This window comes from Homo sapiens, chromosome 15, assembly GCF_000001405.40.
Source record: "Homo sapiens chromosome 15, GRCh38.p14 Primary Assembly".
NCBI classification, from domain to species: Eukaryota; Metazoa; Chordata; class Mammalia; order Primates; family Hominidae; genus Homo; species Homo sapiens.
Genome location: NC_000015.10, coordinates 84,865,026 through 84,877,668, shown reverse-complemented (window position 1 = coordinate 84,877,668; position 12,643 = coordinate 84,865,026). Strand labels below are relative to the sequence as shown.

The window sequence follows — 12,643 nt, the reverse complement described above, 5'->3', positions numbered from 1 at the left end:
ACTCCTGGGCTCAAGTGATCCTCCTGTCTCAACCTCCCAAAATGTTAGGATTGCAGGCATGAGCCATAGTACCCAGCCTTTATTTTCAACTTTAGACATTATCTATTGACTCTCTATATAACAAAGATTTAGCTTTATATTACTATTCTCAGTTCTTCTCCTCATAATATTCCACTGGGGATTAATTATTCCTCCTGTGTCGGCTGGCAGGGCAGAGCAGAGAGCTGGAGGAGCCTGTTTCGATGACATCCTGGAGCTGCCGTGCCAGCCCTGGGTGGACCAGGTACAGATCTCCTACTGCCTACAGACTTCATCCTGAGGAAGAAATAACTTTGTCTTATTTAAGATCACTGTCATTCAGGGCTCTGTGATTTCCTGTTGTGGCTGATACTGGCTGATACACACTGCTCTTACGATTTTTGCAAATGTTCTTCCATGACCTGGCCCTGCCTCTGAGCCTCGGCTTGCAACACCTCTTATTCCCCAGGTACGAGCTTCCATCCCTTGCCTCTCAGTAACCAGGCTGGAAGCTCTTGCACCAGTTGTTTCCTCAGCCTGGTATGCTCTTCTCCTTCCACTTCCTCTCACCAACATCCTTCCTCCCATCTCAGCTCAAATGTGAAGGCCGGGCGCAGTGGCTCATGCCTGTAATCCCAGCACTTTGGGAGGCCGAGGCGGGTGGATCACTTGAGGTCAGGAGTTGGAGACCAGCTTGGCCAACATGGTGAGACCACATCTCTACTTAAAATACAAAATTAGCCGGGCATGGTGGCACACGCCTGTAATCTCAGCTACTTGAGAGGTTGAGGCAGGAGAATCACTTGAATCTGGGAGGTGGAGGTTGTAGTGAGCTGAGATCGCACCACCGCACTCCAGCCTGGGCAATAAGAGCGAAACTCCATCTCAAAAAAAAAAAAATGTCAAGCCTCAGAGAGGCTCCTAAGCCCATCTAAATTAGGTCCCGTCCCCGGCTGGCATTATCTCCTATTCTTCTGCTTCACAAGACTTCATACTTACATATTTGCCATTAATACATTTTTGCTGTGTTTTTAAATGTTTGTCTCCCCCACTAGACTGTAAGCTCCATAAGGGAGGAATCTATGTCTGTTTTGTTCACTCTCATGAACACAGCAAATATAATAGGCAGTCTATAAATATTAGAAAAAAAGGATTGTAAAAAAAAAAAAAGAGGTATCTTAGTTCAGAGAGGTTAAGCAACAAGCTCAAGTTCACACAGCCAGCAAAGCAGGATTTGAACTGAGACTTGTCTGACTTGTCCTAAGCTCACCAAATCTGAGAATTTGCATTTTCTTGAACCATTCCCTTCAGAAGAAGAGGAGAATTGACTATCAGGTAAACACAGTGTCCAGTCTATTGGATGATTAAATTTCTCATTGAAAAGAAATTTTAATTTTTTTTTTTTTGAGACAGAGTTTCTCTCTCTTGCCCAGGCTGGAGTGCAGTGGCACAATCTTGGCTCACTGCAACCTCTGCCTCCCAGGTTCAAGCGATTCTCCTGCCTCAGCCTCCCGAGTAGCTGGGACTACAGGTGCGTGCCAGCACGGCCTGCTAATTTTTGTATTTTTAGTAGAGACGGAGTTTTGCCATGTTGGCCAGGCTGCTCTCAAACTGCTGACCTCAGGTGATCCACCCACCTCGGCCTCCCAAAGTGCTGGGATTACAGGCATAAGCCAGCGTGCCCGGCCAAATTTAATTTTTTAAATAGAGACAGGGTCTCAAACTCCTGGGCTCAAGTGATCCTCTCACTGAAAATTAGCAAGGTGAGGGGGGAGGAGGGAGGGATAGCATTAGGAGATCTAATGTTAAATGACGAGTTAATGGGTGCAGCACACCAACATGGCACACGTATACATATGTAACAAACCTTCACGTTGTGCACATGTACCGTAAAACTTAAAGTATAATTTAAAAAAAAAGAAAATTAGCAAGGTGAATTCTTCATGCTTAAGTTCCATTTTACTGTAAATTTAACCAGAATGAGATAGCCTCCCTGAGTGATCAACTCAGGGGTATGGGAAGTATCAAGTTACAAAACTAAAACCCAGACCCTGCCCTGGGGTAAATTTATCAATTTAGTGCCACTCATCAAGGCCTCTTGGGTCCCAGCCTGAAGGCCTCTCCATGGTGATAACCCTTGTGCTGAGAGCCATCTTTCACATTTCCAGTGGCTGCTCTCTGGGGTCGGAATGAGCTAGGACTCTCTTACTTCGTATTCTGTGCTAACAGTTTTCCCGGTAACATTACCACCCCCCTCCGGTTTTTGTTTTTTTTTTTGGTTTTTTGGTTGGTGGTGGGTGGGCAGAAATCACCCCTCTTTCCCACAGTACCCCTGCTGCCCCAGGCCTCAAGGATACATGTAACTCAAGCCAGGCCAATCAGATTCTCTTTCTTGAGTAGAGACACACAGTAACAAAAGGCAGTTGGGATTGAGTCATGAGAAGGGTGCACTTAGGGTGATGGTCAGCAAGTTCCTCAGGCCAAAGTCCTCAGAGCTGCCCTGGTTACCATTGTACCCTAGGCTTGTCATTCAATTCTTCTTTCAGACCAGTGGGTTACCCTGGCATCCTTTTGTTCTTACTTAAGTTAGAGCCAGTTTATTGCTGGCAGTCAGAGAACCGTAACTGATGGTGACATTCATAGGGAAGATGTTAAAGGACATGGACTCTCTCCTTTTCCCAGGAAATAAGAGGGGTTTTTGGAATTGGTTATGGAGGTAAGATAGGGTGAAGAGCATTGAAACTCCTGTTCCTATTCAGGGATGGGAAAGTAGCAGCCTTTGTACATCACTGGATACTTTTTAAAGCTAGACGATGGGGTGGGCACAGTGGCTCACGCCTGTAATCCCAGGACTTTGGGAGGCTGAGGCAAGCGGATCATTTGAGGCCAGGAGTTTGAGACCAGCCTGGCCAACATAGCGAAGCCCTGTCTCTACTAAAAATACAAAAAAAAATTTAGCAGGGCGTGGTGGTGGATGCCTGTAGTCCCAGCTACTCAGAGGCTGAGGCATGAGAATCACTTGAACGCAGAGGCAGAGGTTGCAGTGAGCCCAAGAGTGCGCTACTGCACTCCAGCCTGGGTGACACCCTGTCACACATGCAAAAAACGAAGCTAGAGGATGATCATTAAAATCCTCCCACCTCAAGGCATGGAACGAAATTCAGGACCTTTCTATTACTGGGTAGAAATTCCCTTATGGCTTGGAGCCATTGAGTTTGTTTAAAAACAAACCCAGAGTCTGATTCTGCAAAACTGCTAGATTCACCACCAATCGAATTCATAACCTCATTCGGTTTCAAAAAAAGGTGGCATCCTGTCAGCTGGATTAATGACATCTGGGAGTATTCAAAGGACATAAAAAGGACAACCCTCCAGAAATATTTCCTTCCTACCTCCACTACCAGGAAAGGTGTACCTCTCTCTTGCAGAAGAAAGCAAACACTTTCCCCATCATTCTCAGCAAAATATCACAAGGACAGAAAACCAAACACCGCGTGTTCTCACTCATAAGAGAGAGTTGAGCAATGAGAACACATGGACACAGGGAGGGGAACATCACACACCGGGGCCCGTCAGGGGGTGGGGGGCTGGGGGAGGGAGAGCATTAGGAGAAATATCTAATGTAGATGACGGGTTGGTGGGTGCAGCAAACCACCATGGCACATGTATACCTATGTAACAAACCTGCACGTTGTGCACATGTATCCCAGAACTTAAAGTATAATGATAATAATAAAAGAAAGCAAACAGTTTCCCTCCTGCCCCACACCACATGTTATACCACTAACCAGAACCCACACTTAGCATAAGCCAGGGGATGAGAGTCTTAATCAGATCAGGAAAGAGAAGAGTGATATTCTGAAGAAACTGCATGAACTGGCAAATATATTGTCAAAAAATATAGGGTACATTGGTGGACTTTTTTTGTTTTTTGAGACAGGGTCTCACTGTGTTGCCCAGGCGGGAGTGCAGTGGCGTGATCTCAGCTCACTGCAGCCTCCGTCTCCTGGCCCAAACAGTCCTCCCACCTCAGCCCCCTAAATAGCTGAGACCACAGGCATGAACCCCCACGCCTGGTTAATTTTTTTTTTTTTAATTTTGTAGAGATGGAGTCTCCCTATGTTGCGCAGTCTGTGGTGGACCTTTTAAAGGCTGTATGACCAAGATATAATTTTGGTTCAGGTTGTCTTTATTGATATGTTCACTCACCAGAGATTCTACATTCTACGTAAAAGCTCAAATCGCCAGATACTGTTATTACTATTTTAGGAGGGCTTGGCTAATACAAATCTGGACCAAATGTTGGCCCATGCTAAATTATATCAAAAGACCAAACATCCAAGAAAGGCAGGAATTCAAAGATTTCAGAAGATAAAAATGCTTGATTGGGTCCCTGGCATGCACCCAGCCCATCAACCCCCTCACTGCCCTCTGGCAGGACCCAGAAGATGAGCTCCCTTCTTGCCACGAGAAATACATTCACGAGGCTCTGCTGATTTTCCTCTCTAGGCCTGGGAGGCTGCTTGAAAGAGCTGCTGTGAACGTGGGCTCCCTGATCTCAGCAACAGAGATAGACAGAAGGAACAAAATAGGGCGCTCATCGTAAGGGATAGGGCATGGAAACCAGACCTCGAGCTGTGGGTCCCAGGAATGAAAAAGGCCAGACGCCCCTAAGATATGGCCTAGTAATGACCTTAACTAAAGACTTCTGGGCCAACAGTTCTGTCTCAAGTGCCAAGGTAAAGTCAAGATCTCCCACTTGATTTCCAGACCTTAAATGGAGAGGAAGTCAAATGTATTTTTGAAGGAAAAACTTATTTTAACACTTAGATGCATGTTGTGAACCTTCCTTGCAGCCTTCCCCAAAGAGGTCTGTATCCATTCATCTGGGACTACAGAAGGGACGGGAAATTGGCAGCTGCCCAGTGCCTTGGTCAAACATATGTGAATCAGAGTGGGAGATAAATCATGTGAAAATGCCAAGGTCTGCCCCTTCTATAAAGTTCTGGGGTTGAGGGATCTGTTTGAGGTCAGAATGTTTCCTTCACAATGTAGGACAAATGACTGTATGTCGAATCCCTCGCCACTAAGGCCTAATTCCATGCAATTTATGCCACTTTGGGGCATCTTGTTCTAACCCATTTACCAACTGACCTAGAAGACTGCCAGCTTTGGGGTGGGCCTAGAGCAGGCGAAGGCATTGCAGCTGGGAAAGTCTTTTGTGCAGCCGACGCTGCCATCAGGCCACGTGACCTGGCAGGTCAATGGTGCATGAGGTGTCTTTCCATGGGTGGCATACCGCGGAGCCATACATAGCTTGCGGTAAGTCCTGACAAGAAAATATGATACGGGAACCCAGGATTTGGAGCCAAGTGATGCTCTGGCCAAAAAGTAACCATTATCCTTGTACAAAATGCCCTTCTGGCTCACCACTGGGCTCTGGGAGAGCCTGAACACTTGGCCCTGGCACACTTGGTGGCCATGCTGCCCCTCGTAGTGTTATCTGACCGCCTAGCCATAAAGTCTGGCATGGCCAGTGCGTTCCATTATCAACGGTACACTGTCGCTCCAGGCTAAGGCTCTGAAGGCACCAGTGGGTCGTGTGTGGGTAGCTCACTCACTGTCCAGTGTTTTCACCTGTCTACACCTGTGGCTCTGAGAGGGGCAGTAATTTGTCTTGGCCCTTTTGGGCCCTTGTTCTGGATTTGGATTTGCTTTTCTAACCCATCATGCCTCTCCTGCCATCAATATCCATGGAATTCTCAAATGCCATAAACATCATGTGACCTCCTCACATACTGCACCCAACCAGAGAATTCACTTTACAGCTAAAAGAATAGTAACGGGTTGATGGGCAGGCATTCACTCATCTTGTCAGGAACCCACAAACCAGCAGCAGCTGTCTTGAGAGGGTGGTGAAATGGTTTGTTGAAAATTCAACTATGGCACCAGAAACAACACCCCGAGAGGCTGGGTCAGGCCTGCAGGAGGCAGCATGCGCTTGGAGCCGGCAACCATACCTGGCGCTGTTTCTCCTTCAGGGATAGGACGCAGTGTGGACATGGCCCTGCTATTGCTAGATCTCAATGCTTTTCTCATACCCGAGGTTTAGGTTTGGGACTGGGCTGGCGTGGAGAGTTTAGTCCCCCAGCAAGGAGCACATCCTCAAAGACGTAGTAGCTATTCAACTGAACTGGAAGCTGAGGCAGCCACCAGGCCACTTCAGGCTCATTATAAAGAAGTCATCGGAGTATCTAGAATGATGAACCCTATCAAGGGAAAATATGATTGCTGCTACGTAAAAGAGGGCAGGAGTAGAGATGGACATGGGGGGATTCCTGGAGTTTGTCCTGGGACTGCCAGTCCAATAGTAAATGCCTGTCACACAGGTAGGACCACTAATGAGCTTCAGAACTGAAGGTTTGGGTCCCTCCACCAGATCAAAAGTCCATCATCATAAACATGAGTTCTCATGACCAGTTCTAGAAATGGACTGTAGACTTTACCCATTCTTCCATTCTTGCTGGGTTATACAATTTTGGTTGAATATGGTTAATTTTACCAGTTAATCTACAGGTTGTAGAATTTCAAAATGGAATTGTGATAAAACTGAAAGAGGGAGATTATCCCTAATGACACTGGACTTTGGAGAATAGAAGCCGTGTCATTACCCCTGGAATTCGAAGTTAGATATGATCTTGAATTCCCTAAGCAGAGAGAAATGTGGTTTTGGTTACCTGTGGGAGAGTCGTCATACGTGAGATGGGAGAACAGCACGTGTGTTAGAAGCATCTTCAGGGTTTACCTACCAAACCCTTTCCACCCTTCCGTACTCCACCATTCCATGTGGCAAGAGTCCGCATCTTTTGGAAGACTGCCCCCCTCCCACTCTATGAAGCCCTGAGCTCCAGGCCAGGTTCTTTCACTTGGAATTTGAATCTTGAGTGGAAGGGGACCCACTAGAACCAATGGCAAGTTGGTGTTGATCTGCCAACCGCAGCAGCTCCTGGGAGGCAAGCCTCGTAGTTGCCCCAGCTCCCACCCTTCCCAGGGCCAATTAATTGTTCAGCTATTCTTTTGGTTTTGTGAGCTATCCCAGCATCCTTCCCATGAACGCTTTTTCCTTGCTTAAGTTGGTCCAAGTTCATTTCTGTTGGTCAAAACTCAAGAATCCTAACAAGTAGTCTCTCCTGAGATGGCCTCATACATCTTTGCCTCCAAACAGCTGCCAGCCCAGGGTCTGGCATAAAGTAGCACTCAGTATATGTCTGCTGAATGAGTGGGTGAATGAATAAATGAATGAACAGTACTCCAGCTCTCAGTTCACCAAAGTAATCTGGGTATACAGGCTGGGAGAGGTGGGGACACACTGGGGCAGAAGATGTGGAGTCACCTGAGCACAGAGGAGGTAGAGAAGTCAGAGATGTTACCATAGAGGGGAAATGTTAGGCAAGGGGAGGTTCCGGGTGGGGGTGGGAATGAAAAGCTTCTCTGCAGCTTGAGAAGCAGGAAATGGTCAGCAAGTAGCTGAGAGGCAGGTGCTGGTGGGCTCCTGGGCTGGTCTTGCTGTAGCCAGAGACACAGGGCGTTTCCAGAGCCCCCAGCTCTGTGCTTCCTTCCTGGGTGGCTTCCTTTGTGTTCCTCTTCTGAATGAAGAGCAATTCCAAAGGCGTAAGTCCCCAGACACCCTGCTAAGGGGTACACACCAGCAGCTCAGTTGTGCAAGCAGCACAAGCTGTCTTTCTGTGGCCACAGAAGGCTGCGACTGAACTTCGGTCCAGGAACCAAAATATAGATTCATTTTTCCAGTGGGCCTGGGACTACAGAATGCCCTCAGAGAGCCTGCCTGGGAGAGGGGGACCTTGACTCCACAGACCTCCAACCACACCAGATGAGGGCAAGCAGGGCACACAATGCTGCCTTTATTGCATTCCAAAGGGAGTAGGCTAGCTGCAGACCTACCCCATCCCAGGCCTCCAGGAGGGATGCTCTGGAAGGATCCAGGCTGCTGGGTCCTTGGGAGCCCATACATGAGGACCCAGAGCTGGGGCCCCAGGATCAAGAGCGATGGTTGGAGCAGGGGTCCTAATTCCCAGGCACAGAGACTCCCCTCCACCCAAGTGCATGGATAGACTGCATCCCTCCTAGAACACCCAAGTGTACTCCCCATGGGGAAGGGACCTAGCCCTCCACTCCTGGTTGAGAGGGGATGTGAAATTCACTGTGACCCCACCTCCTTTCAGTATGGAGTGCAAGGTCTCTCAGAGTCAACACCTCTCTCTGGCTACAGCTGCTGACACAACCCTCACACCAGCTCTCACCTCATGAGCAAAGAGCCCGAGAGAAGTTGGGGAAGAGAGCACTGAAGTGGGGTGAGAGGCCAGAGGGTCTGTTCCTCACCTGGGTATTGGTGGGCAGGGAGTGGGGAGCCCTCAAGCAAAGGGCCATGTGCAGAGCCATGAAGGGCAGGCAGCAGGCTGCAGCTGGGCCCCAAGACAGGGATGTGGCGAGGGGGTACAAGGGAGCATGGGAAGCAGGCGAGTGAGTGAAGGGGGAAGAGCGTGAACACACATCAAAGGCCACTGCACAAGGACATGACAGGCTCTGGAAGGGCCCTGAGCCCCATCTGGGCTCAAGGATGGTTAGTTGCAGGATAAGCTGAGATCAGTGAGCGAAAGTAGCTGGAAGGAGAAGATACCCTGAGAGTCACCAGGCCAGACCAGCAGAGGAAGTCTGGATCCCTGAGGACAGGCGAGATCAGGGCCAGGCAAATGCAGGAGGGTAAAAGTTGGCCTGCATGTCCTCACTCAGATTGTAACATCTGCTGCTGGACTGGGCTGGGGCAAGGGCTTGGGGTGCAGAACTCATGCAGAGGACTCAGGGGAGCCTCCAGCAGTGGCAAAGTGTAAACTTCAAGGAGGGCCTAGGTTGCCAGGCACTTGGAGGTGGGGACTGCTTGAGGCCCGGGAGCCCTGGGTGACAGTGGCACCAGAAGAGGCCAGTGGGCTATGTGCCATGCACCAAAGCCATCTGATGACGAGCTGATTCACGAGAGCCTGCTCAGAGAGGTCCCCAAGTGGTGTCTCCTTCGTGCACCTTCTCCAGTTAGTTCCATATTTGGAAAGTCTCCATCCAGTTCAAGCTGCTTCCTGGTTGGTCTGCTGCTGGGTGGAGGCCCCCAGCCTCTGCGGAGGCTACCGCATGCCCTGGGCCTTGGAGCCCTCCTCTTGGGTGGGAGGCTGTCCCAACAACTGAGTGGTGACTGGCTCTGAGGCCTGAGGGGTGGCCTTGGAACTTGGAGCACTCTTCCGGGTGCCCTGAGGACTAGGGAGGCCTTTCTTCTGGGGCTGAGGACTCAGCTGGGAGCCTTTCCTGCCAGCAGATGGACTCTTAGAGCCTTTGGCTTTGGCTTGGGGGTGGGCCGCCTCCGGGCCCTTGAGAGGTGTCAGCCCCAGCAGCTCACAGTAGGCATTGCACTGGTGGGAGGAGGCGAACCGGTCCAGCAGGGCAGGGAAGCAGCTTTCCTTGAGGCCCTGGTATCTGCAGCCAGACAGGAAGAGCTGAGTGGGGGTCCCAACCAGAGACACAGTTCCTTGGGGGGCGGACTCTGGGGTGGCCATCATCAGGATGTCGTGCTCAGGGTACATCCTACCTTATCTGAGGGTGATGGGGACTCTCCCTTGGTGCTACCTCAGGTGGCAGCAGCCAAAACCTCAGTTTTTCTTTTTAAAAAAATAGAGACAGAGTCTCTCTACTTGGCCCAGGCTGGTCTCAAACTCCTGGGCTCAAGAAATCCTCCCTCCCCAGCCTCCCAAAGTGCTAGGGTTAGAGGCGTGAGCCACCATGCCTGGCCCAAGGCCTCAGTTTTAAAACTGTGGTCTCATTACACCCTGACACATGGAATCCATCACGCAGGACTTTAAATGGCATAAGAATGGCTTAGCTTCTGAACATAAATTGGAGCAGACTCGAGGTCCGCACTCTCATCACAGGACCCTTACTCATCGGCACCTTGGCAACCATCCTCAAGCGAGAGGGGAGGAGTATGTGAGAGCTCTGGATTGCAGGGGACCCCATGTGTGGCATCAGTAATAGCTGCCACACCAGGCCAGAGATAAGGGGTGGGGACCAGTAGCCCCTAGGATGTTACCACATGGCCATGGGTGTGTCTGGGACCACTTGGCCCCAGGCCCAGCACCTCAGGGATGGAGAACCAGAAGGGCTTAGGACATTTTACACCCTGAGAAGACGCCCAGAGGGCATTCTGTCCCCAAGAACCACTCACCCTCGGAGTTTGGTAGCAATCTGCACATCAGTCATCTTCCAGTCAACCCCTGAAAAGAGAGAAAGTTGGGAGTTGATGCCAGTCTGGGCTGGCTCTAAGCCCCCACATCTCCAGCAGGAAGATATACTGGGTGGCTTAGAACCATGTCTCTTCCTGCTGGAGACATGGGGGCTTAGAACCAGCCCAGGCTGGCATCAACTTCCTGGGTGTCAGTGCAGGTGTGTCTTCAAGCATCTTCTCATGGGTCATCACCACCAGCCTGTCTCACAGCATGCAGGTCTCTGGATTATTACTAGGAATAATATTCATATTTTTACAAGTGAGGAGGATAGGCTCAGAGTTAAATGGCTTGAGCAAAGTCATACTCACTCATTCAATAATTGAGCTCTGGCCATGTGCAATGGCCATTTGACTTAAAATAAGGGTTCCGTTTTTTTGGATTCCTAGAGCCAAAACTCTTCCAGCTATGCAATCCTGCCTCTACTGGATCAGACCAGGTCACAACCTGGACCAGCCTCTAGCTTTGAGCTAAAACCTTCATCCTCTGAACAGATCAGTAGTCTGTCCAGACAAAAGAGAGGGATGGGAATGAGAGGATAAATCAGGGGTAGACCAGCAGAAATGCAACACTACAGAAGACTGGCTTCTGCACTACTTACAAAGGCAGCAAGCAAGCAAGAAGCCAAGATGGTCTTCCAGGTTAAGCCTTGGAAGGGCAGAGCCAGGCAAAATGATGATAGAGAAAAAACGTTTTCACTGTGCTCAGGCCACCCAGGTATCTTAGTATTCACACATTAGGTTTAGGATGCTCTTTCCCCCATTTTCAATCTGTCCAGAGCATTTTGCTAGGAACCTGCCTTTCACTAACAGGGCTGAGTACCATCATATGATAGACAATAACAAATGTGGCCTCTGGAGTCAGACAGACCTGGATTTACATTTCAGCTCTACCACTTCTGAGCTGTGGGTACTCGACAAGTCACTTCATATCTCTAATCTTCAAGTGTAAAGGTGAGGATAGTAATGACCATCTTACAGAGTATTGAGAAAATCATAATATGTGTAGGACTCTAACTTAGTGTCTGAAACATAGGACTAATGTGATAAATATTGATTTATTTGTCATTTCTCTTTTGGCATTCATAGCATTCCATTTTGTGTAAAAATGATGATCTCTCTCATTTGCACAGAATTTTAGTTTGCAGCAGGTTTTCACAAATATGGTCTCACTTAATCCTCATGAAAAATCTGAGTGCTAGGTAGGAAAGACATTATTCCTAGAAAGGGAAAGGAAACTGAAGCTCAGAGAGATTGAATGACCTAACCAGGGTGAGCTTCAGTTTTCTTCTTTGTAAAACAGACTCAGCTAGAAGAGAATGGGGCTTTGACTTAAATCAAATTTATTTTTTTCTTTATTATTTTTTTGAGATGGAGTCTCACTCTGTTGCCCAGGCTGGAGTGCAGTAGTGCAATCTTGGCTCACTGCAACCTCTGCCTCCCGGGTTCAAGCAATTCTCAAGCCCTGCCCTCCCAAATAGCTGGAATTACAGACAGAATTTTTGTATTTTTAGCAGAGATGGGGTTTTGCTGTGTTGGCCAGGCTGGTTTCGAACTCCTGGCCTCAAGTGGTCCACCTGCCTCGGCCTCCCAAAGTGCTGGGATTACAGGCGTGAGCCTCCGCGCCCAGCCGACTTTAAAGCCTTTCTACTATGCCACGTTATCGTCTCACAGTAGAAACTGGTCTACTCATCACAGCTTCTTGAGGACGATGACATTCCTAATTCAACTTTTTATTTTTTCAATATTTAGTAATGGTTGGATGGAAAAAGGATGGAAGCATGAGTTTATAAGTTAACAAATAGGTTGACTGATAATGGCTTAATGTTACCTAGCCCGCCCTCCCCCCAGTATATGGAGCTATATATATAATAATTATCGTACAATTTAACCCCAGTGAAACACACATTTGAGTCCGTTTTATATCTCTGGTCTCTAGTTTTCTCACTTATTTACCACAGAGACAAGATTTAATGATGTGTGATATTCCCAGCAACCTCTCCTTCCCCTGAGCATTTTCTCTGTTCCTCTCCTCTGTCCAGTTCTGCTTAATGACAGTAGGCCTGCAGAGAGCTGGTTGAAGAAGGAAGGAGGGTTCATGCCTGCTGGCCTTCCTTTGTTGGGGAGTTCTGGGTAATGGGGGGCGTAGGAATAAAACTAAAAAGAAGCTAGACTAAGTTGCTTTACATAACGAAAAGCTAACAAAGATGGAGGAGGAGGAGAGACAGTAAAGCTACTGGGCTAAAATGGAAGGGAGAGTTTGGGAAGCTTGGAGAGTGAGAA

The 12,643-nt window shown here is 48.6% G+C and overlaps 1 protein-coding gene across 1 annotated transcript in view; it reads right to left on the bottom strand.

Annotated features, from left to right (window-relative positions):
* ALPK3 (alpha kinase 3) overlaps positions 4,190-12,643 on the bottom strand; it is a 56,124-nt gene continuing 47,670 nt past the window's right edge. The window contains exons 13-14 of the mRNA NM_020778.5: positions 10,304-10,352; positions 4,190-9,558 (exon numbers count right to left, since the gene is read on the bottom strand). Of these exons, the coding sequence (NP_065829.4) occupies positions 9,213-9,558; positions 10,304-10,352 (395 nt within the window). The 3' untranslated portion in view covers positions 4,190-9,212. The remainder of the gene's footprint in view (positions 9,559-10,303; positions 10,353-12,643) is intronic.